Here is a 25,322-nt window from a genome sequence, read left to right as displayed (position 1 = left end):
AACATAATCTTATGAAGTCCTAAAACTCCATCACAAAATTGTCAGAACTAATTAATGAAGTAATGTTGCAGGATACAAAATCAATATACAAAATCAATAGTGTGTTTATACACTAATAAATAATCCAAAAACATTTTTAAAAGTCCACTTACAATTGCTACAAAAAAATGAAACACTTAGAAATAAGTTTTGCCAAGGAGGTAAAAGATTTGTACACTAAAAACTGTAGAACTGTGATGAAAGAAATTGAAAAAGATGCAAATAAATGAAAAGATAGTCTGTGTTTATGTATTGGAAGAATTAATATTGTGAAAATGTTCATAATACCCAAAGTTATCCATAGACTAAATGCCATTCCTATGAAAATGTCATTGGCATTTGTCACAAATAGAAAAAAAATCCTAAAATTTGGTATGAAATCATCAAAGACTGCAAATAGCTACCACAATCTTGAGCAGCCACCACAGTCTTCGGCAAGAAGAACAAAGCTGAAAGCATCACACAACCTGATTTCAAACCATAATGCAAAGCTATCTTAATCAAAACAGCATGGTACTGGCACAAAAATAGACATATAGACCAATGGAATAGAAGAAAGAGCCCATAAAAACCCGTATGTTTATGGTCAATTTGTCTGCAACCAAGATGCCAAGAACATACAAGGGAAAGGTCTGTCTCTTCAATAGGTAGTGTTGAAAAAAATTAGATATCCACATGCAGACGAATGAAATTGGATTCTTATCTCACACCACATGCAAAAATCAACTAAAATTAATTAAAGATTGAAACATAACACCTGAACCTATAAACCACAGGAAGAAAACACAGGAAAAGATCCTCCTGACATTGGTCCAGGCAATGATATTTTGGATATGACTCAAAAAGCAACAATAGGCATATCAGATTGTATCAAACTAAAAAGCTTATGCACAGCAAATAAAACAATCAACAGAATGAAAACACAATCTATATAAAGGGTGAAAATATTTTCAAACCATACATCTGATGAGAGGATAATATGCAAGATGTTTAAGGAACTCAAACAATTCAATAGCAATACAACAACCCAATTTTAAAATGGGCAAAAGACTTGAAAAGACGTTTCTCAAAAAATAACACATAAGTGGCTGACGGGTATATGAAAAAATGCTCAACATCACCAATCATCAGGAAAATGTAAATCAAAACCACAATGAGATAGATTACCCCGTATTTGTTAGAATGGCTATTATCAACAAGACAAAAGATATCAAGTGTTGACAAGAATGTGGAGAAAAGGAACCCTTGTATACTGTTGATGGGAATGTAAATTAGTACAGCCATTATGGAGATTCCTCAAAAAATTAAAAATAGAACTACCATATGATCCTGCAATCCCACTTCTAGTCTTCTAGTTAGCATATGTCCAAAGGAAATGAAATTGAAGAGATATCTATATTCCTATGTTCATTGCAGCAATATTCACAATAGTCAAGATACGGAATCAACTGAAGTGTCTATTAATGGGTGAATACCATATTTTCTTTATCCATTGACCCACGGATAGACATGTATAAACGTGTGTGTATACACACACACACACACACAAACAATGGAATACTATTTAGACTTAAAAAAAGAAATTCTGTCACTTGCAACAACATAAATGGGCCTGGATATTATAATAAGTGAAATAAGTCAGGCACAGAAAGACAGACACTGCATTGTCTCACTCACATGTGGAATCTAAAAATGTCAAACTCAGAAGCAAAGAGTAGAAGGAAAGCAATGGTGGTTGCCAGGGGCTTGGGGTGGGGTGGAGGTGGGAGAATAGGGAAATGTTGGTCAAAGGATACAAAATTTCAGTTAAACAGAATGAATATATTCTGGAGACCTAATGTAGAGCATGGCAACTATAGTTAATGATGTATTGTATACTTGAAAGTTCTAAAAGAATAAATCTTAAATGTTCTCACCACCAAAATATTAAGTATGTGAGGTGATTTTATATATATATAAATATATATAGTGTATATATACTAGTATATATACACTATATATACACTACTATAGTATATATATAGAGTATATATACACTATATATACACTACTATAGTATATATATAGTGTATATATACTAGTATATATAGTAGTGTATATATACTAGTATATATAGTAGTGTATATATACTAGTATATATAGTAGTGTATATACACTAGTATATATAGTAGTGTATATACACTAGTATATATACTAGTGTATATACACTAGTATATATACTAGTATATATACACTAGTATATATACTAGTATATATACACTATATATACACTACTATAGTATACTAGTATATATACACTATATATAGTATACATATACACTACTATAGTATATATAAATATATAGTGTATATAATATATAGTATATATAAATACATAGTGTATATATACACTGTATATAATGTATATGTATATTATATATAATATATAGTATATATTTTTATATAATATATAGTATATATAGTGTATATATAAATATATAGTGTGTATATATACTATATATAGTGTATATGTATATTATATATATTTTTTATTTATGGTATATTTTTAATATATAGTATATACACTATATATAAATACATAGTATATAGTATATATACACTATATATAAATACATAGTATATATACACTATATATTTATATATAGTGTATATACACTATATATAAATATATAGTGTATATACACTATATATAAATATATATAGTATATATAAATACTATATATATTTATATAGTAAACATAAATATATACTATGTGTGTGTATATATCTACATATATAGTACAATAGCAAAGACACAGAATCAACCTAATACCCATCAATATAGACTGGATAAAGAAAACGTGGTACATATACACCATGGAATACTATGTAGCTGTAAAAAGAATGAGACCATGTCCATTGCAGGAACATGGATGGAGCTAGAGGCAATTATCCTTAGCAAACTACACACACACACACAATGTAAATATATATATACACATGTATATATGTGTATATACATGCGTATATATGTATATATAAGTATATATACACACACATATACACATATATACTATATATACAAGTATGTATATACTATATATACCTATATACTATACATACTTGTATATATAGTATATACTACATATACAAGTATATGTAGTATATACTACATATACAAGTATATGTAGTATATACTACATATACTTGTATATATAGTATATGTATACATATATTATATATAAGTATATACTATATAGTGTATATATACTATATATACACTATATATACATGTATATGTGCATATATACATATTGTGTATATATACGTGTATATGTGTGTATATATGTATATATATACACACATATATATATAGTTTAACTTTTAAGTTTGGGGCAAATGTGCAGTTTTGTTACATAGGTAAATATGTGTCATGGGGGTTTGTTGTACAGATCATTTCATCACCCAGGTATTAAGCCTAGTATCCATTAGTTGTTTTTCCTGATCCTCTTCCTCCTCCCACCCTCCACCCTCTGACAGGCCCCACTGTGTGTTGTTCCCCTATACGTGTCCATGTATTCTCACCATTAAGCTCCCACTTATAAGTGAGAACATGTGGTATATGGTTCTCTGTTCCTGCATTAGTTTGCTAAGGATAATTGCCTCCAGCTCTATCCATGTTCCTGCAGTGGACATGATCTCATTCTTTTTACGGCTACATAATATTCCATGGTGTATATGTACCACGTTTTCTTTATCCAGTCTATATTGATGGGCATTTAGGTTGATTCCGTGTCTTTGCTATTGTAAATAGTGCTGCAACGCACATATATGTGCATGTGTCTTTATGACAGAACGATTTCTATTCCTTTGGCTATATACCCAGTAATGGGATTGCTGGGTCAAATGGTATTTCCATTTTTAGGTCTTTGAGGAGACAGATATATTAATTAGCTTGATTGTGGTAATCATTTCACAATGTGTACATCTATTAAAATATCACATTGTGAACCATAATGTATACAATATTTTTTAGTTATATTTAAATAAACCTGGAAAAAAGTCATGAACACATTCACATATTCATGTTTATAATATTATCAATAATATCAATTCACATGCAAAATGCTTTTTATCTGCTTTCTCAGTTAATCCTCATACAACCCCAGGGGTTTGGTACTATCATCCCCATTTTATGGTTAAGAAAACTAAGGTTCAGAGAGATCAACTGACTGCTCACGGTGAGTAAATAGAATGAAAATTTAAAGCCTTGTTTGTCTGATGTCAAGATCAATATTCTTAACAATTATGCTATACATAATGAATAAAAATCTTCAGTAGGAAAAACAATTAGTAAGTTTCATGGTCTCCTGTGTAAATCTTTTTTTTTTTTTTTTTTTTTTTTTGAGGTGGAGTCTCGCTCTGTCAACCAGGCTGGAGTGCAATGGCACCATCTCGGCTCACTGCAACCTCTGCCTCCCAGGTTCAAACAATTTTCCTGCCTCAGCCTCCCAAATAGCTGGGATTACAGGCGTGTACCACCATGCCCAGCTAATTTTTGTATTTTTAGTAGAGACAGGGTTTTGCCATATTGGCCAGGCTGGTCTCGAACTCCCGACGTTAGGTGATCCACCTGCCTCAGCCTCCGAAAGTGCTGTGATTACAGGCATGAGCCATCACGCCTGGCCTAGACTTCTTTTTGATGCTGTTATATACCATTGTTGTTGTTCATCCTTTCAGTGTGTATCCATCTTTGAAACAAGACACAGGACTTCACCCATTTTATAACTTTGTCGTCATAACAGTTATCAAATACTGAGAGCTTGCCATGTGCCCGATACTGTGCTAAATATATGTGGATTATGTCATTTAATCCTCAGTATAACCCTACAGAAAAGGCAAATTATCCACTTAACAGACATGGAAACTGAGGTTTAGAGAGCATTCAAAATCTGCTTGAGCCTGCACAGCTGCTAAGAGCCAGGATTTGAATCCAGACCATTTGATTCCACATCCTGCATCCCTATTCTCCACATAGCACCTCCAGTTGGTCCCCAGCATAGCTCTCGCCCTCACGTAGCCATCAACATGCAGTAGAAGAGACATAACACATTCCATAATACATATAAACCAGAGTTTATTTTTACTTCCTGATAAAATTGTTCCCCAGCACTGACTTAGCAAAACGTTGCTTTTTAAAAATCCCATCTTTTTGCCTTAGCTAAACTAATTGCCATTCTTTGTCTCTAATTTTCAAATTCCCATTTTCCACTTCAAATCTACCATCTAAGTCTATGTTGACAAGGAGAAGAGACCTCAGTAGCTGCTAGAAGTCAGTCTTTTCTATCTGCTGTTCTCTCTCCACCTGCTAGGTGATAGGAGCCATCACAGCCTGATAATTTAAGCTGCATGGTTCCACGCCATTCAGCTTCTGTAAAACTACACTCTTCTCTACCCCAGCAATATAATAGTTTTGTTCTTTCCAAGGGGTTTCATCTGGCCATGGGAACAAACTGAAGGCAGAAGTGGAGATCACAGCAACCCAGACATCATGACAAGGCCATCTATGGAATTTGCAGAGATGAGTAGATTGGGCTTCTTCTGGAGTACCTCGCTGCTTTGCACTAAATGCTATCGTTTATGAAGTTATCAAATAAGGAAACTATGATGTCTCCTTTCCCCTAGGCTGCTGGGATGGCAGCGAAATTGCTCCCTAGGTTCTGCTGATCTTGTGCAAAGAGGCAATACAGCAGAGGGGTTACCAGCATGGACTCTGAAGCCAGACCACCTAGGTCCAAATCCAGCTTTGCCCTTTCCTAGCTGTGTGACCTTGGGAAGGTTGGCCAACGTCTCTGGGCTTCACATTCCTCATCTGTGACATAGGGATAAAGAACTTTCTGTGTAGAGAAGTTTTAACAGTTTCTGCCAGAATGAAAGCACCATGTGAGCACTTGTTAGAAATATGAGCCATATTAATACACAGGTTGATGGAATATGTCAGAAGTATAGATGCTGAGGGGTTGACAAGAGCTTCAAAAAGCAGTAGACTGCTCTCTACCATGACAGCTTAGGAATTTGTGGAGTCTAGGGGTCCTTTAATCTCCTCCCTTAGGATATACCTCCTTTTTTGCCTTCCCATGTCCTCTTTCTTAACTTGAATGACAAAGATGAATAATAAGAATGTTGAGTCACATGCATACACATGAACATGACCGATCACATCATGAACACATACAAAAATACATATTTATAATAACTATTGATATCAATAATTACAATTGTGTAATTATAATAATATCAGCATCCATTTTTTAATAGCATATTATATCTCAGGCATCGGGACAGGTCACTGCCTATATTCCTTCTTCCTCCAAGCAGGCAAGCTTCATATTAGTGTCTCCACTTGCTGGGGAACTTTGAGGAAATTAAGGAACATGCTCAGGGTCACAAGGGCAAATAGCCAAACTGGGATTTGAAACTTTGAACCCAAATCCCGAGCTCCCCTTTGCAGGCACTCTCTTAGTTTGGGTTTCCTTGAAAGCAAAGTCTGCAACATGGGTGTGGAGACAGGTAATGTTTTGGAGGCGACTTTTTAAGAGCCAGGAGTGAAAAACAGAGGGGTGCAATCCTGCAAAGATCCTCTGTAATGCAGGTACATGCCACATAGCATGTGCTGCAGATTCACCCCAGCAAGGGGTAGGACCTTGGGACATTTATCCACCCACACCCACTGGTTGAGGGACAGGTGCCCCGGGAACATCCTCTCCTGCTCACAGCCAGGCTGTTCTGCACATGGACTAAACTTCCTTGCTCCAAGAAAGCCCAGGGATAGAAAAGCTGGGATATACACAGGTATATGTATCAGAGGTGTATATACCTGTATATAGCTCAGAGGTGAGACACCTGGAGCATGCTTGAAGTTGTCCACTTCTGAAATTAGATGAGCCAAAGGGATGTACTCCAGGCACACACACACAAGTCTATTAATGGCACCCTCTCATGGCCTCACTGAATTCCACGTACTCTGTATGGTAGTGTGCGCTCTCTGAGGGGACGAGGCACGCATTCCTTTGGCTTCTAGCAATGACCGGTGAGGAAACCGGGAAAGATATGATCACCTTCAACTGTCCATTGAGGAAGTGGAGGTGTCTGAATGTGAACACACCCTTTTCCCATCTGTAACTTTGGGCAAGTTATTTTAATTCTTTGTGTTTCCATTTTCTCATCTGTCCATTCTTCATATTTACTGAGCACCTCTCTGTGCCAGGCACTGTTGTAGGTGCTACAGAATACAGTCTTGAACAAAATGCGGAGAAAAATCCCGTCCTTCACTGAGCTTACTTTTCATCAGATGAAGACGGATGAAACACAGAAGATATAAAGAAAATGGGCTAGTGGGCGTGGTGGCTCATACCTGTAATCCCAGTGCTTTGGGAGGCTGAGGTAGGAGGATTGCTTGAGGCCAGGAGTTTGAGACCAGCATGGGAAACATTGCTAGTCCCCGTCTTCACAGAAAAATTTAAAAATTATCCTGACATGGTAGCTTGAGTCTATAGTCCCAGCTACTCAGGAGGCTGAGGCATGAGGATCACATGAGCCCAGGAATGTGAGGCTACAGTGAGCTATGATCAGCACTCCAGCCTGGGTAACAGAGTAAGACCTTCTCTCAAAAAAAAAAAAAAAAAAAAAAAAAAAAGGAAGAAAAGGAAAATGAAATGTTTGGAAGTAAAAGGCTGTGAATTAAAGTATAGAAGGAGAATGTAGTGCATGTGGGGCAGGAGGGAGAGACGGCAATCTGTGTTAAAGTGATTAGGAAAAGCCTCCCTGGGAAGAAGGCATTGGAAGCATGTGGCTATCTGAGAAAAAGACTTTCTAGACAGAGGAAACAGCAAGTACAAAGGCCTCAGGGTGGGATTCCACCTAATGTGTTCCAGGAATATCAGGAAGGCCGTGTGGCTGATGTGGACCCAGCAGTGGATATGAGTGAGAGCTGTTGAATGGTGAGTAGCGTTGCATGGGGACTCCAAATGTCACCGTGAGTGGGAGGTGAGTGGGATATGAGTGGGAGGGTTTTGAGCAGGGAAGTGACATGATGTGACATATTTTCATGGCATCATTCTGGCTGTTAAGAACAGACTGGCAGGGGGAGTGGGCAGAAGCAGTACCATGGAGAGCAGTCAGGAGACTATTGTAGTAATGAGGGGAACATATGACGGAGGCTTGGACTAGGGTGGTGTTGACGGAGGGGGTGGGAAGTGATGGCTTTTGTAAAATGTGCATGCTTTCCAGACCTTAGACATATGATCTCATATGATTTTCACAAAGACTCACATCTGTTGGGGATTCTCTCCCATTTTTACAAAAGAACGGGAAGCTGAGACCATGCCCTGAGTTGACATGGTCAGCATGTGGTCAGACCAAGCTGAGGGCTCAGGTCTTCTGAATCTTAACCCAGAGATCCTTCTGCTGCATTTCAGCCATTCGGTGTCATCATCTGTGAAGACGACTTCTTAAGGACAGGGCTTCCTCAATACTCTCTACTGCAAGACCCCCATTTCCAAAACTAATCGCAACTTGAGAATGAAAATGTCCCTAGCAAATAAGTGGGGAAAAAAAGAAGAAAGAAAGAAAAAAGGAAGAGAGAAGCAGAGAGGGTAGCCACCCAAAATTCCAAAGCTCTGCAGGCACGGATCAATTCTTTAGGGTTATTTTTCCCCTTTACTTGGGTTGTAAGTGGAAACTTAATTAAACATGTGACTCAATTCAAAGAGGGGCATGGAGGATGTGACACTTTAAAAATATCACAGTGTTGGGCTTGGCAATGATTCTGAGAAAATGCCTCCTTGAGACTTCAGACATCTGCATGCAGGATGATATGCAGGGAGACTTCGGCAAGAAGGAATTATATTATAAAATATGTCGTAATGTATAATTACAGCCCTGACCTCCCCTGGTAGCTTCAGCTCTGTATATCCAGCTGTCTGCATACTTGCGTCTTCACTGGGATTAAAAATTAGCATCTCAAACCTGTAAGTCCAAAACAACCTCCCAAACCTGTTCCTTCTGACATCTTTCCAACGCAATGAATACCACCACCACCTACTCAGTGCCTCAAGCTAAAATCCTAGGAGTCATCCTTGATTTCTCATTCCCCTCACCCCTGGGATCTGATGTCTTTAAGTGCTGTCTGCTCTACCTTCAAAACATATTTCTAACCTGTCCGTTTCTCTCCACCTCCACTGATAAAACGCTAGCTTCATCGTCACCATCTCTTGCATGAGTGACTGCAACAGCCTTCTGATTTTTTTTGACTCTCTTTAATCCACAATGCAGCCAGCATGAGTTTTTTAAAATGTGAAATGTAAAACTGAACAGGGGGTGTGTCTTATTTCAACGTGCTCGAAAGGCTTCCTAGTATTCTTAGAACAAAAGACAAACTCTTTATGTGGCTTCTGAGATCTTGCATGATCCAGCTGCTAACTTCTCTAATCTCTGCACGTGCCAACTCCCATCCTTACAGCGTTCGAGCCACTTAGTCTCTTTTCTGATCCCTGAATACAAGAAGTTCTTTCCCTCCTCTGGACTTTGCAGTTACTCTTTCCTCTTTCTGAAATGCTCTCTGGTCAGCTCTTCTCACCACCTGTTCCTTGTCTTCCCTGAGCTTTCAGCCCAAATATGCCCTCACTGAAAAGACTCTTTCATAACCCTGTCTCAGGGTTTCTCAATCTCAGCAGTATTGACATTTGAGACCAGATCATTCTTTGCACTGGGGGGCTGTTCTGTGCACTGTAGGGTGTTTAGCAACATCCCTGGCTTCTACCTACTAGATGCCAGTAGCACTTGCCTCCAAGCTGTGACCATCAAAAATGTCTCTTGACATTGCCAAATGTCCGCCGGGTGACGGTGGGGCAGGTCACTTACAGTTAAGAACCCATTCCCCATCTAAAGCGCCCTTGACAGCTTCCCTTTATCTCTTAGCCTATGTGCTTCCTTTGTATATTTACTATTCTCTGCAATTAACTTTTGTATTATTATGTGTTGTATAAGAACAAGACGTAATACGAATGTAACCTCCGTAAGCATAGGAACTTTGAGAATCTTATTTATAGTCTGTCTTCCTAGGACCTAAGAGAGTTCCTGGCCTGTGGAAGGTATCCAATAGATATTCATTGAATGAATGAGAGTTGATATTCATTGCCATGAGCCGAGCTTTGTGCTCAGCACCATTCATGTGTTAGCTCCATTTAAGTCAGCTAATGAGGTAGGTAACACTATTATCTTATCTGCATTTTCAGGTATGGACAAGTGAGATTCAGAGAGAGAGTAATTTGTGAAGCAACTAAGGGATATCAGTTGAGCTCTGTGACTCCCATAACCCCTTTGATGAAAATATCAACCAAACCTAGAAGCTTTGAATTCTTGACTCTTCTCCCTTCATTTTTGTATCCTACCAGTGCGTCAGTCTCATTATTTATACCTCATAAACACTACCCTAAGTTCTGTTCAGCCCCTCCTCTCCATCCTGTTACCATTGAATTCATCAAGGTCCTCATCAATTCATGGCTGGTAGTAGGAACAACCCCCTAAATCTGGTCTGTACACTACTACCCTCTACCCACTCTTTCCCATCTCTATATGACAACAATGTTCATTTCTCTGTCAGGTCAGGTCATGCGCTGGTTTTGAAAGTGTGTTCGCTTCCTGATACCTATAAGATAAAGTCCAAACTATGTAATGCGGCCTTTGGTATATGATTTGATCTCTCTTAGCTTCGCTTTCCTATCTATGAGAACGGGAATATGAGAATAGCACTTTCAGAGCAGGTTTTAGGATTCAATGGGACAAGCTTACAAGGGATGCTCAATGGCAATGATTTCCTTTCCTTCCCTTTCTTTACAATTGGAACCTAATTCTCCAACTTCATCTCCCATCAATCTCCCCTCCCCTCCCCTCCTCCTCTCCTTAGTGAATTCCTATTTATCCTTCAAGCTGCAATTCAAATGTCCCTGCCATGGTCAAGCCTTCCCCAACCTTTCCTGGCAGGGTTGATGAACCCTGGTCTGGAGTCTCAGAACTCCACTCTAGCATTTAACATGCTGTGCCTTTAAACACTGAGTAGTCAGTGTTTGTTTACACATCTTCCTTCTCTGTTAGACTAAGGGCATTTACACATTTCTGAATCCCTAGTGCTAAGCAAGGAGACTAACACATAGTTTGTGCTCAATAAATGATTATATGTAGGAAGATTGCAACACAATTTTAGAATTGCACAGACCTCGGTTTCAATGTTGACTCTACCCCTAATTTGTCAGACAACCTTAAGCAATTTGTTTTCCTTCTGGGACTTGGTTTTCTTTCTGTTAAAAAATAAAGACAGTTTTATCTTCTTAAGCGGATATAATTAGATAATTAAGGTAAAGTATCTTGCATAGGCCAGATGCATGGTTATCATTCCATAAATGACAGCCTATTATTATCCAAATTTATTAATTACTGCACTTAAGTAAATGAGGTTCTACTTCAGGAATCAGTAAAGCTAAAATATTGACACTTGAAAAATTTTGGAAATACCACAAAGCACTATATAAAATGAGCCTAACAAAGGCTCAGAACAATAACTGTGATTGATAGATTGGTAGAAAATGAGATTGGAGAAGTCAGGGAAGACTTCCTGAAAGAGGTGGCATGATAGATTGTCTCTGAAGATTCCTTCCCTCCTTGCCAAAGGATGAAATCCATTTTTTTCTCCCAGTGAAATCTGGGCTGGCCCAGTAACTTGTCAATAGAATGCAATGCAAGTGACTTGTGTCAGTAATAACCTTTATGAGTCCTGGCAGCTCCCACTGTTGCTCTTAGGAGGACCCACCATGCTGTAAAGATGCATGGGCTTGACTACTAACATATGAACTATCACATGGAAAGAGGGAGGTCATGTGAAGAGGCACCAAGTCCCCAGAAATGTGAGAGAAGTTTCTTGGACTTCCAAACCCAGTCCAGGCAATCAAGAAGGCAGCCAAGTAAGAGACTTCAGCCAATGTCACATGGAGTGGAAGAACCACCCTGCTGAACCCTGCCCCCACTGCTGACCCACAAAAGCTCAAGACATAATAAATCATTGTTTTAAGCCACTAAACTTGGGGATTTTCTGTTTAAAAGCAATAGTTAAAAGAAATAGATAAGAATTTGAGTATGGGTGGGCCTGACGCAGGCAGACACAGTGAAAAAAAATCTTTCCAAATAGAGAAACCCACTGTCATGAATGAGGAGTTAATCTTAATGATTGCCTCAGGCTTTCCTTCCAGGCTTTCAACCTTCACTTGTCTCCCTTTACTTGCTACACCCCAACCATGGTGAATTTTTCTCAGGCTGTCTTTGAACTCACAGCCTTTGCTTGTGCTTTTCCTATTGCCTCACTTTTTTCTGGTCCTCTTTGATAGCCTAATTTTTAGCTGTCTTTCAGATCTCAAGTGCTGTTTCGTTTGTCATGCCCACTATTCTAGCATATATCACTGTGTTGCTCTTCTTAGTCTAATGTCTTTATTTCTCTATTGTGATGAGTGATTAATTAATTAATGGAGGGAAGGGAAAGCACTTCCTTACTGTAGAATGCAAACTAATTAATGGAGGAGCAATGGAATTAGAAAGTTATTTGCAACCATCATAGTAATAATTGATTCAGGCAAGTATCATCAATAGATGCTGAGATAAGTGCATGAAAGTTTGATGAAGTACAGTATACTTACACAGCCTCAGAGTATATCCCCTAAAGTTATTTATTAATTACAAGGGGATGAAAGTAATTTTATAGTGAAGAAGTTTAGCATATATTACTTTGACAAAGTGATTAAAGTCAACAACAATAGTGACAGAACAAACCAACGTCATGTACTGAGAAGAACACACTATCACTTATATAATAATTCACCAAAAATGTATAACCTGAATCTCATCAGGAAACATCCAATAAGCCAAAATTACAGTAATTCTTATGCTCTTCATAACATGTGAATATCCTGAAAGACGACAAGAGACAGGAAACATTCCATATTAAAGAAGACTACAGAGGCATGAAAACTAAATGTAATGCATGATCCTGGATTAAATCCAGAGCATGAAAAAAATGCTACAAAAACATTACAGGAATATTTGGAAAAATTTTAATAAGATCTACAGGTTACATAATTATATCGTATGAGTGGTGAGTTTTTCTGATTTTGATTACTATACTGTGTTTATTTAAGAGATAGTTCTTGGTACACACACTCTGAAACATTTAGTGGTAAATGAGGCATGATATCTGAAACTTACCTCATATTTTTAAAAAGCAGTATGTGCACGCCTACAGAGAGAAAATAAAGCAAATGTGGAAAATGATGAACAGTTGATGTATATGGGTGAAGAGCATACAATTTTGTACTAATCTCGCAACTTGCCTGTAAGTTTGAAATTATTTCCAAATGAAAAGTTGAAAAAATAAAATATCAGCTATCTGATGGATAACCCACAATATGACTACACACCCACCATGTTGTTTAAAATGAACAAAATCAATGATACCAAACATTGGTGAGAATGTAGATCAACTGGAATTATTTTTCATTGTTGGAGGGAGTGTAAATTTTACAACCACTTGGGAACACTGACAGTGTCTACTAAAGTTAAACAGATCCATAACTTGTGACTCAGTAATTTCATGCTTAAATATATGCCTATAAAAATGTATACATATACAAATTCTCCAAAATATATGCATTAGATATACTATAGCATTGCTATATTTCATAGCCCAAAATCAGAAACAACATACATGTCCACCAAAAGTAGAATGGATAAAAATTGTGACATATTCCCAAAATAGAACACTATACAGCAATTAAAAATGAATTATATCTGCTGACTACAACAGAGAATGAATCTCATGAAAAATATCAGGAAAAGGAAATCAGACAAAAATAGTGCATCGTGTTTGACTCCATTTATATAAAGTTCAAAAATAGGTAAAACTAACCTGCAATTGTTACAAGTCAGGAGAGTGGTTACCCCTTGCGGGGAAGGATTTAGTGGCAGGAAAGAGCTGTGAAAGTGCTCTTAGGAGTTTTGCCAATGCTTTGTTTGTTGATCTGGATGCTGGTGACTCAGATGTGTCAATTTCTGAAAACCCCTTGAGCTTTATACTTATGACACAGGCACTTTTCTGTATGTACGTCATTCTTCAGTAAAATGTTTACATTAATAAAGAGAAAAGGATAATGATAACAACGCCCAATAGCATGAACAGGACACTGTTGTATTTTCCATGGAGTGATTCAGATTGGTCATGAGATGTAGCTGCTATTGCTACACATGGAGAAACTGAGGTTCAAAGACGTTGAACAACTTCCCAAGGGTCACGCAGCCCAGAAGCGGCTAAGTAGAACTCAAATCTAGGCTTTTCAGTTGCCTGCGGAGTCTGTGTTCTTAGGTGCTGTGTTCCACTGTGTCCTAATGAAGAGGCCTTTGGAGTAGAGAAGACCTTCTCCATTCCTTCATCAAAAGGCCTTCTGAATAAACCCGGGATGTTAGAAATTATGCAAATAAGCTTAAAAAAATCAGAGACTCTGCTAATAAAGATGGAGAGAGGAATAAGGTGCCAAACTGCAATGTGATAATGAGGCTGATCTTAATGCCACTTCTCAGTCCTTGTTTGCAAAATTAAGATCTAAGAGGGGGAGGAAAAGAAAACCACCCCAACCATAAAAGGCAGGGTAGATACCCATGAGATAAAATGGTTGAAGAATGATCCAATTAGGAAATGCAATATAGCTCAGTAAGCCTTATTCCTATTATCACAGAAACCAAGCTTTGTAGTATATTCACTGCTGCAGGAGAAAGTGTAAGGAGAAATTAATGGTTTGATTCTAATTTTTTTTTTTTTTTTTTTTTTTACCAGTGGCAGATATGTTTTTGAATTATTAATCTGTGTTTTCTTTGCTGTATGTTTGGTCTTCCATCTCAAAAGAGATCTTAGGGATTTTTGCCATAGCAATTTGCAGAGGATTCACAAGATAAAGACATGAACTGGATTTATCAGACCAAGGAAGGGAAAACTAGCAGGAAGAGGCAGGATTTCCACCCCTAGAAATGGAAAGGGGGTTGCAGTTGGGAAGTGAGTGTCTTGCAAACAGTGGGAACTTTGGCCTTTATGAAGGAGCAGCACCCAAGAAATTTAGATATCAAAGGAGAAGCTATCAAGTACCCCTCTGAAAGCAGGACCCCAGGGTAAGGGGACAGCAACCCCACAAAAGGGTCTTGGGCTCCAATGTTAAAATAGAAGAAGAGGGTCACATGGTTTCAGGTAGTATGCACATCAACAGAAAGTCCTATCTCAAGGATTCAATTCAATAACTACTGTAATAAACAAACTCTAGGGGTAGGGAAGCCTCAGTATTGACCAAAATTGTTTTTATTTTAAGCAACCTAACTGTTTGAGGGTTTGGGGTGAAGTTTACTAGAAATAAGGAAAATAAAGAAAAAATATTTCTTCCAACTCTGAGACTGAGGACTTGGATGCATGTCTCCTACATGCAAAATGGGTGGAAATTAACCCACATGGACTCCGAAAAAGCATTTTGCATTGAGAAAAATTACTTCAATGGAAAGAACATTATCCCCTTTGTTCTTCCCACTGCCTGCTTAATAATTCCTGAAGCTCCAGTCTGCTGTGACAAGCAAGGCTGGATTTGACTACTCATTCCCCTTTTTTGACCTTGGGGTCCCATTGCTCATGAATTCCTGACGTTAAATATTTCTGTCAGGCAGCGCTGTTTCAAGAAGACTTCAAGTTTTAACAAAACTGAATTAAATATTCAACCAAGAGTATCTCCCTTCTGTGAGTAAAGATATGATTGAAACTTATGTGGTGATTGCTATTATCATCACATGCTATGAGCCAGGTATATAAAGCCAGGATATTTAAGTTTGTCTAGAAGCCAACTGTTACTGTTACCAGGGGCAGGACAGAACCACTCAAATATGGAATTGGGTAACATATGAGAATCATCATGGAAGCTGGAACCATTAGCCCAGATGCGTAGAAGGCTTGCAGCGATGATAATTACACATCATTAGTGCATTTGCAGAATGAGATCTTTTCCTCCAGCAGGAAAGGAAAATCCACCGGTGTAGGTGAACAAAAACCATCATGGTACAATCCATCACCGTCTGGGCCCTGAGAAAAGTGCATTCTTTCCAGGTAATTTTTTTCTGCAGGTATGAGGATACTGGAACCTTCAGTGGAGGGTAATTGGCTAACAGAGAAAATAGCTGTTGTCTGGAGACTAGAGAAGGCTGCACAAGCAGAGTGCCAAAAGTGGTGAGCAGAAGATGTCTCGATTAAAAATAAGAAGTGTTAAGTGTTGGATGGGAACATCATTTGCAAATCTTTGCTCCTATGAAGCCCTTGTACTGGTGGGAGAAGTGAAGGAATTTGGAACTGCATGGCACAGTTTCTCTGGAATTTATGGCTAGACATATTTGTGTGAATGATCTCAGCAGCCCCAATCAATGTAAATACAACATTTAAAACACTGAAATTGCATCATCAATCACAAAAGGAACAGAACTAGTTGGTGAAAAGGTGAGGCCTTTGAGGGCTATGGGATTATGTTCACAATGGGTTGCTTAAGATTGAGTGTTCTAGACAGGCAAGACTTGAATGCCAGCTCCTTCTTTTATTGATGACATTTGTTGAATAAATGGCTCAAAACCCGAATTTACTCCAGTTAGCACTCAGTGCTATCATTTGTGCAATGTGGTATCAAAGTGAAGTCTCCTTTAGCCTAGGTTCCAAAGTGACTGATGAGAAAACTCCAAATAGTCAGTGTTAGAAATACAGTAAGAGTAAGAAATGAATTTCCATTATGCCAAACCACTGAGATTTGGGAGCTGCTTGTTACCACAGCACAACACAGCTCATACTGACTGATACAAACCAAAAATTGTTTCATCTCACTAAGCCTCTGCTTTTTCAATTATACAATAATGATCTCCCTCAAAAGATTATTGTGAGGGTTCTATTAGATATTCCTGTAAAACCACATGGGATTGTGCCTGACATATAGTACATGCTGCAAATGTTAGCTATTCTTACTGAGGAGTATGTAGCCTTCTAGTTAGTTTGTGGCTCTGTCAATGTGAAAAACACCAAGACTAAAAGAAAGGTATAGATATAAGAAAGCAAATATAAATGTACCCTAAGCCTCACCAGCCCGAGGGACAAATGAGGTCAGGAACAGTAATAATTCTCATTTTTTTAGCTCCTGGCTTTAAATGTAAATTCCAGGACCTCTGGACCCACCTTAACATTTCACATGGTCCCTTGTGAAAACAGCTCTGTTGGCTTCTCCCTACAGTCCTCCGTGATGAAAAGTTCAGAAATAAGTTCATGGGACCAGGTGTGGGGTAGACATTACAATAGCAGCTAAGCTTTATTGAACACTTACTCTGTGCAAGGCAAGTTGCTAAGTCCCTTTACATACATTACCATGTTGAACTCTTAATTACCACCATAGGAGCTTGGTTATAATTGTGCTCATTTTGTAGATACATAAACAAGGCCCCTCAAATCTAGTTAACCTCCCTCAATATTACAGAGATAGAAAGTGGGACTAAGAATGTCTGTCCCCAAAGCCAGCAGTCATTATAACTATGTCATTCTCCCCAAGGCCTCATTTATAAACCACCTTCTCAATTGCCCCTTACAACTATCATCATCATGAAAATCAACTCATTCAACTAGATGCTTGTTGAGCCCATAAGACATGCTCAGATGCCTTGAATCCAAGTGGGAGTCAAAATTAGACCCAAAATGAGCCATTACATCCCCGTGACATAAATCACTGTATTCATAAAAAATGGAGAAATTGCAAATGAGCCTACAGCCCAATGGCTTGCACCAAATCTGAAAGATGCCATTTTAAAAAAGAAAGTTAATAGACTTAGAGCAGTCTACTGGGTAGAGAGGCCATTAATATAAGATAAATAATAGTAGTGGGTTGGAAGCAAAGGAGTTCATAAATTCTCACTTGCTTATTAAGGGTGGTATCCTTTGGATTCCCATTTATAATATATATGACTGCATATAAATGAATTATAAATGTATGTTTTGCTTAAATACCAAGCACTGGCTGCTATTCTTCCCTGATGCAGAAAAATTAAGTTACAAAGGAATGAGTTAAGATTGTTTACCATCCTATTATGAAACAGAATACCTCATAGCTGGAAGGGTACTTAGGGATCAACTATCTGTTCCAACTCCATCCCTTTGCATATGAGAAAACTTCTAGTTTAGGCCACACAGGGATTTCCAGTGATTTAAAATTCAAACACACTAGTGGAGCACAAACACATTTTAATTTACTCCCTACCACTGACAGCTCTAATCAAGGCATGAGCCTTCTGTTCAAAGCCAACAACTGATCAGCCTTCATGATGAATGGACACAGAATCCTAATTCATACTGATTCTGGCTTCAGGCCTTTGCTTGTATTTCAGTCCTGAACTTACACCATTATTATCCCTATTACAAAATAGTAGTGATTAGTTTCCATCTGCAGCTGGAACACTGATTGGCCTATCTTTTCAGGGGCATTTATTTAAGGTCACTTAAAACCATTACACTTGTATACGTTGATCCTGGATAAACAGAATAACTATGGTCTAGGGTAAGGATGATGAAAGAAGCCATAAATAAGTTTAGGGAAATCCCAGAGCAGGGGAGCCACTGCTACAGTTCCCAGGAGTCTGTACGATTTATAGAGAAGTTCTTTGACCTACATGGTACCCAAGCCACAGAGTAGAAATGGCCATGGGGATTTTCTGGGTGGGGAAGACTGAGGGCAGCCTTGCAGATCCTCATGCCAGTGTGGTGTGGAGAGAGCAGCCGGAAGCACCTAAGTTTCCACGAAGGGCACAGAAGTGGCCGTGAGAACCAGAGGACCAAAACATTCTCACATTTGGGGATTAGGGATGTGGATGTATTGACCCCAAAACAGATACAGAACCACGATCAATCAGCAGTGGTAGAAACAAAGGGACACATAACTACACTAGGTGGGGACAGGTAACAACAGATGATACTTCCCAAAGTCTGGCATGCCTTAATACTAAAGCCTGCACCTCACACCAGGAACTTTAAACACAGTGGGAAAGACAGAGAGAAATGCAAAGGGTAGAAAGTTGGGTCAACTGAGCAGTATCCACAAGAGACTGAGTTTTAAACCAGAAGTGATTACATTTTCTCTAATTCAATTTTGCAGTGGAAGTGGGTGCTTAAGAGTAAAATGAAATTCAGTTACAGAAAAATAAAATTCTGTTTTCCCTTATCTGAGTTTTCTGATTGGGAAAACATCTGCATCATAAAATAAGTTCTTGATACAGTGCTGGGCTTCATAAGTGATCAGTAACTTTTCGCTGCTGCAGCTACAGTTGCTGTTGTCCTTGTTATTGCTGTTATTATGCTGTGAGCTCCTGGAAGCAGGTACAGTATTTTTTGTTTGTTTCTGTCTTTCCAATGTTTATCACAGAATAGGTTCCTCAGCACATATTTGCTGACTGGACACCCGAATTTACCACCATACCCCCTTCCCCCACTAGCACTCAATGCTATTATTCATGCAACCTGGAGCCAAAGTGACATCTCCTTTAGACTAGGTTCCTAAGTGACTGATGAGAGAGCTCCAACAACCAGGGTTAGAAATAGAATGTGAGTAAAAAACAAATTTCCATCATGCTAAACCACTGAGATTTGGGGGCTGCGTGTGGTAACCACAGCACATCCTGTCTGATACAAACTAAAATTGAAATGTACTTGAGAAGAATTACCTAGTCTGTAGCATACTGTTTTACCTCCTTTATGTCATTGAATTTTTACTCTCTGTATTTTATAGTCAATGAATCTGAAATTCCATGCTATTAAATCATGTGTCTAAAGTCACAGTCAGTAAGGGACAGGGCCATCTGAGTCCAGAATTCTAGAATTTTCCATTACACTAGACTGCCCCCAGATGAAGACTTTTTTTTTTTTTTTTTTTTGAGATGGAGTCTCACTTTGTCACCCAAGCTGGAGTGCAGTGGAGTGATCTCTGCTCACTGCAACCTCTGCCTCCTGGGTTCAAGCAATTCTCCTGCATCAGCCTCCCAAGTACCTGGGATTATGGGCGTGCACCATCACACCCAGATAATTTTTGTGTTTTTAGTGGAGGCGGGGTTTCACCATGCTGGCCAGACCAGTCTGGAACTCCTGACCTCAGGTGATCCACCCACCTCTGCCTCCCAAAGTGCTGGGATTACAGGCATGAGCCACTGTGCCTGGCCCTAAATGAAGATTTTCTTATACCTACTTCTCTAATATACATTTTACTTTGAATATAATAGGAGATAGCTACTTGATCTATATTACTTTCCACTTTTCCAAACAGAATTAAAGTAAGTAAGATTTAAGGTAGGGGAGAAGGAAAGCTGGATGGCAGTTCGGAGAAATCCAGGGTGAAAATGAAAAACCATGATCTTAAACTTTGGTGTATATGTCCCCAGTAGGAACAGCAACATATATACAATATGGCAGAAAGTACAACATGGCGGAAAACTCTGATGGAGAAAATAAGCATCCAGTTTTCCTGTAGACTGGGATGGAATAAAAAAGAATAATAGACGTATTGGCAAGGATGTAGAGTGACTGGAACTCCCACACAATGCTAATGGGAATATAAAATACAGAGTAACTCAATTACTCTGGAACACAATTTGCCAGTTCCCAATAAAATTAAATAAGACCCCAGTTTCAATCTTAGAGTTATACCCAAGAGAAACAAGTATGTATTATATTAGGCCATTTTTCACATTGCCATAAAGAACTTCCCAGAGACTGGATAACGTATAAAGGAAAGAGGTTTAATTGACTTACGGTTCTGCATTGCTGGGAAGGCCTCAGGAAACTTACAATCACGGTGGAAGGCAAAGGAGAAGCATGCACATCCTTAACAAGGCTGCAGGAGAGAGAGAGCAGGGGAAATCGTCACTTACATCACCATCAGATCTTGCGAGAACTCACTATCACTAGAACAGCATGGGGGAAACCACCCCTGTGATCCAATCACCTCCCTCCCACTAAGTCCCTCCCCTGAAATATGCGGATTACAATTTGAGATGAAATTTGAGTGGGGACACAGCCAAACCATCTCATGGATGCCCACAAAAACATTTGTACAAGAATGCTCATAGAAACTTTATTCTTACTAGTCCCAAACTGGAAACAATGCAAAGGTCTATAAAAAGGAAAAGAGATAATTGCTGTATGCAAATACAATGTAATACGAAACATTAATACAAATAGAATGAAATGTGGTAAAACCAAATAACATGGATGATTTTCAAAAATATTTTGGGCAAAAGAAGCTAGAAACAAAAGAGTACCTTCTGGATCATGCCATTTATATGAATGGCAAAAACAGGAAAGCTAAGCTACAGTGATTGAGATCAGACAGTGGTTACATCCAACAGTGGGGTAACTTTAATAGGTCATGAGGGATTTTTCTAAGGTAATGAAAATGTTCTGTGACTAGATCTGGATGGTGGTTACCTAAGGCATATACCTGTATACAAATCCATTGATCCGTATACTTAGGATTTGTGCATTTTAGTGTATATAAGCTATACCTCAACAAAATAAGAAAAATAGTTTAAAGAGAATGATAAAAATGTTATCTACATCTCAAGATGGCAAGCACGGCTGTAGGATCTTGCAGGTTTGGGCACTCCTACTCTGCCACAGGGGGCTCGGCTCTGGAGTCTGAATACAGAACTGACCCACTCCTAGGATGATACATCCGCAAGACTAGCGTGGGTATTCTGCAAGGGGTGGAAACCTTGGTAACAAATATTTGTCAATGGCAACAATGACTGCTGCAGGCCTGTGCAGTGTGTGTATGATACTAGAGCATCGGTGTGGATACCTATGGCTGAATCTGTGGTCCACGGAGATGACACTTCAAGAGACACCTCTGAGCCATCCAGAACAGAAAACAAAAGCACCTTCAATAATGATACCCACAGGGCCGGGCACGGTGGCTAACACCTGTAATCCCCTCACTTTGGGAGGCAGAGGCAGACAGATTGCTTGAGCTCAGGAGTTCGTGATCAGCCTGGGCAACATGGTAAAACCCTGTCTCTAACAAAAATAAATAAATAAAATAACGTAGCAAGGCGTGGTGGCACACATCTGGGGTCTCAGCTACTTAGGATGCTGAGGAGGGAGGATCTCTTGAGCTCAGGGGACAGAGGTTGCAGTGAGCCAAGAATGCGCCTCTGCACTCCAGCCTGGCTGACAAGAGCGAGACCCCATCTCAAAAATAATAATAATAGGGGCCTGTCGTGGGGTGGGGGCATGGGGGAGGGATAGCATTAGGAGAAATACCTAATGTAAATGACGAGTTAATGGGTGCAGCAAACCAACACGGCACATGTATACATATGTAACAAACCTGCACGTTGTGCACATGTACCCTAGAACTTAAAGTATAATAAAATAAATAAAAATAAATAATAACAACACCCACAGAAAACACAGGACCCATCTGGGCTTTATTTTTCCCAAAAACTCACAAGTCCTAAGATACTTGTATAACCTCAAGAAGGGACAAGGATCTCTTAAAAATGACTACATTGAATTTCTTCTCCTCAAATTATGAAGTCTAAGGTAGAGAACCAGGTTCAGTGTTTATTACGTGTTCCTAAGTATTATGAATACTAAAGTCATTTTTTGTTTTTAAACACACGGCCCTTGCAAATGCTACCTGCCAGAAGGGGGAAAGCAAATTTAACTTCCTCATACCCAAACCCTCAGCTTTCTCAGCCAGCCTCACCCACTTGCGGCTGTATAACCCAGGGAAGGTAACCTTCTCTCCCTGGGACTCAGTATTCTCATCTACAAAATGGGGATGACAGCTCTTCCTCACAGAATGGTTTTGAGGATTAAATATCAAAACGTTTTGAGGATTAAATATCAAAATATGTGTCATCCAGAAAGCCCCATGCAGACCAACTACTGGTTGACTCAACTCACTTTCCAGCTGTTTGCTCAGAGATGGGGGACACAGAGACACGATTAAGTGTGAAGACAGGTCCATTTTCAGAGATAAACTTGCTGAGGCCCGCAGCTGGAAGCCCAAATTCACTTACTGACACTGCGACTACTCAGATGCAGCCAGGTAGAAACAGATGCAATGACCCAGCAAATTTGAGAGGTGGGGAGACCATCAGGGGACATTTGAGGAAAGAAAGGAACAGCTTGAGCAGATTTCTGAGGGTGGCTGTCTTAGAGGTTGAATTTGCCAGGCTGCCCGAGATAAAGTTTTCTTGCACTTTCTTCCCCATGAAGTAAACATGTGCGCGCGCACACACGCACACAATTTCAGAGCATGGAGACAGGTGGAATATCATAAAATCTAGTTTTAAACCTTGTTTCTCATGGGCAGCCAGATTTCTCCCTTTCTCACTGCCCCCTCCTGCCCTAACTAGAAACATTCATCCCCCTCACGATTCTCTGTGTGTCAGATTTCCCCATATAACAAAAGCAAATCAGGAGGCCTGCTAAGCAGTCTGGTCTGTGAAAGCCTCAGGAGAAAAACCGTGAGAGCAGGTGTGGTCCTAGCCTGCCCCTAGCCCACCACACAACACCGGTTGTCACTTCGTTTCTCCCCAGCCTCTGTTTCTCCATTGGCAAAACCAGAGTTTGAAGCAATTACTCACTCCCATTAGAAATTTGTGATTTCCAATTTTATAAATTATTAAACAGTGGGATGCTAGCAGATAGTTACTTAAAAGACCAAATAAAAGGACATTTTCAATTCATCATTCAACAAACATTCTTCAAACTACAAATTGAGAATGCAGTGACAAGGCAAGACATGTCTCTTTTCCTCAAGGAAGTTATACTCTAGTGATGAACAATGAACAGAACAAGGAAATTAACACTGAAGAGGTCAGCTTGCTAGTCTTGTGAGATACACACAGTGAACACACACAGGAAGGGTATTTATAAGGACTGGAGGGCAGGAAGGCTTCCCAAAGGATGAGATGCTTCAACTGGGACCTTTTTAAACATTTTCCTCATTGTAAACATATTGATAAATAAAAAGAACATGAGGCTGGGTACAGTGGCTCATGCCTGTAATCCCAGCACTTTGGAAGGCAAAGACAGATGGATTACTTGAGGTCAGGAGTTCGAGACCAGCCTGGCCAACATGGTAAAACCCCGTCTCTACTAGAAATACAAAAATTAGCCAGGTGTGGTGGTACATGCCTGTAATCCCAGCTACTTGGGAGGCTGAGGCAGGAGAATCGCTTGAACTCGGGAGACGGAAGTTGCAGTGAGCCATCGTGCCATGGCGCTGGGCAACAAGAGCGAAACTCTGCCTCAAAAAACAAAACAAAACAAAACAAACAAAAAGGAAATGAAAATTACCCATAGTCCCACCCCTCTGAAACATCCCCCCTTGCACACATTGATATATAATTCTTCCAGTGTTCTGTATGATATACATGTACGGACACCTTTTTAAAAAGATGGATTTATATAATTTTTAATTTTTCACTTAATACATTGCAAACATCTTCTGAAGAAATTAAGTCACTTTAATAACCTTCATACTATTCTATTGAACAAATATGCCATCATTTGTTTAATGAAGATTATAAACAGGTTGTTTACAATTTTCTTTGCTACTATATGCACCATTGAGACGAATAGATTGGTAGCTCACCCATAGTCCTCTTTATTTTCTCTTAAGGGATTCCTAGTGAAATCACTGAGTCAAAATCATGCATAGTAGACTCCCTTTTCCACAGGGCGGTGGTGGAGTGTATACTTTCCAATACCCCCATGGGATGGCTGGAAGTAAGGATGGTACCAAGCCCTATACATACTATGTTTTTTTCCTATCTATACACACCTATGATAAAATTTATTTTATAAATTAGGCACAATAAAAGATTAGCAAAAAATAAAACATTATGACAATATACAGCAATAAAAGTTATGTGAATGTGATCTCTCTCTCTCTCTCAAAATATTTTATTGGACTGTCTATATGTAACTTAAACCCCAGACATCCAAACCATTAATAAAGGGGGATACTGTATCTTTTTAAAGGCTTTTGATACATAGGGCCACATTTTCTCCTAGAAAGTTTTGTTGATTTTTCAATTCCACCAGAATTATATGAATGTGCAAATTCCCCTACATTCTCCCCATCAACAGATATTATTTA

Source organism: Homo sapiens, chromosome 16, assembly GCF_000001405.40.
Source record: "Homo sapiens chromosome 16, GRCh38.p14 Primary Assembly".
NCBI classification, from domain to species: Eukaryota; Metazoa; Chordata; class Mammalia; order Primates; family Hominidae; genus Homo; species Homo sapiens.
Note: the sequence above shows the minus strand (reverse complement) of the source record.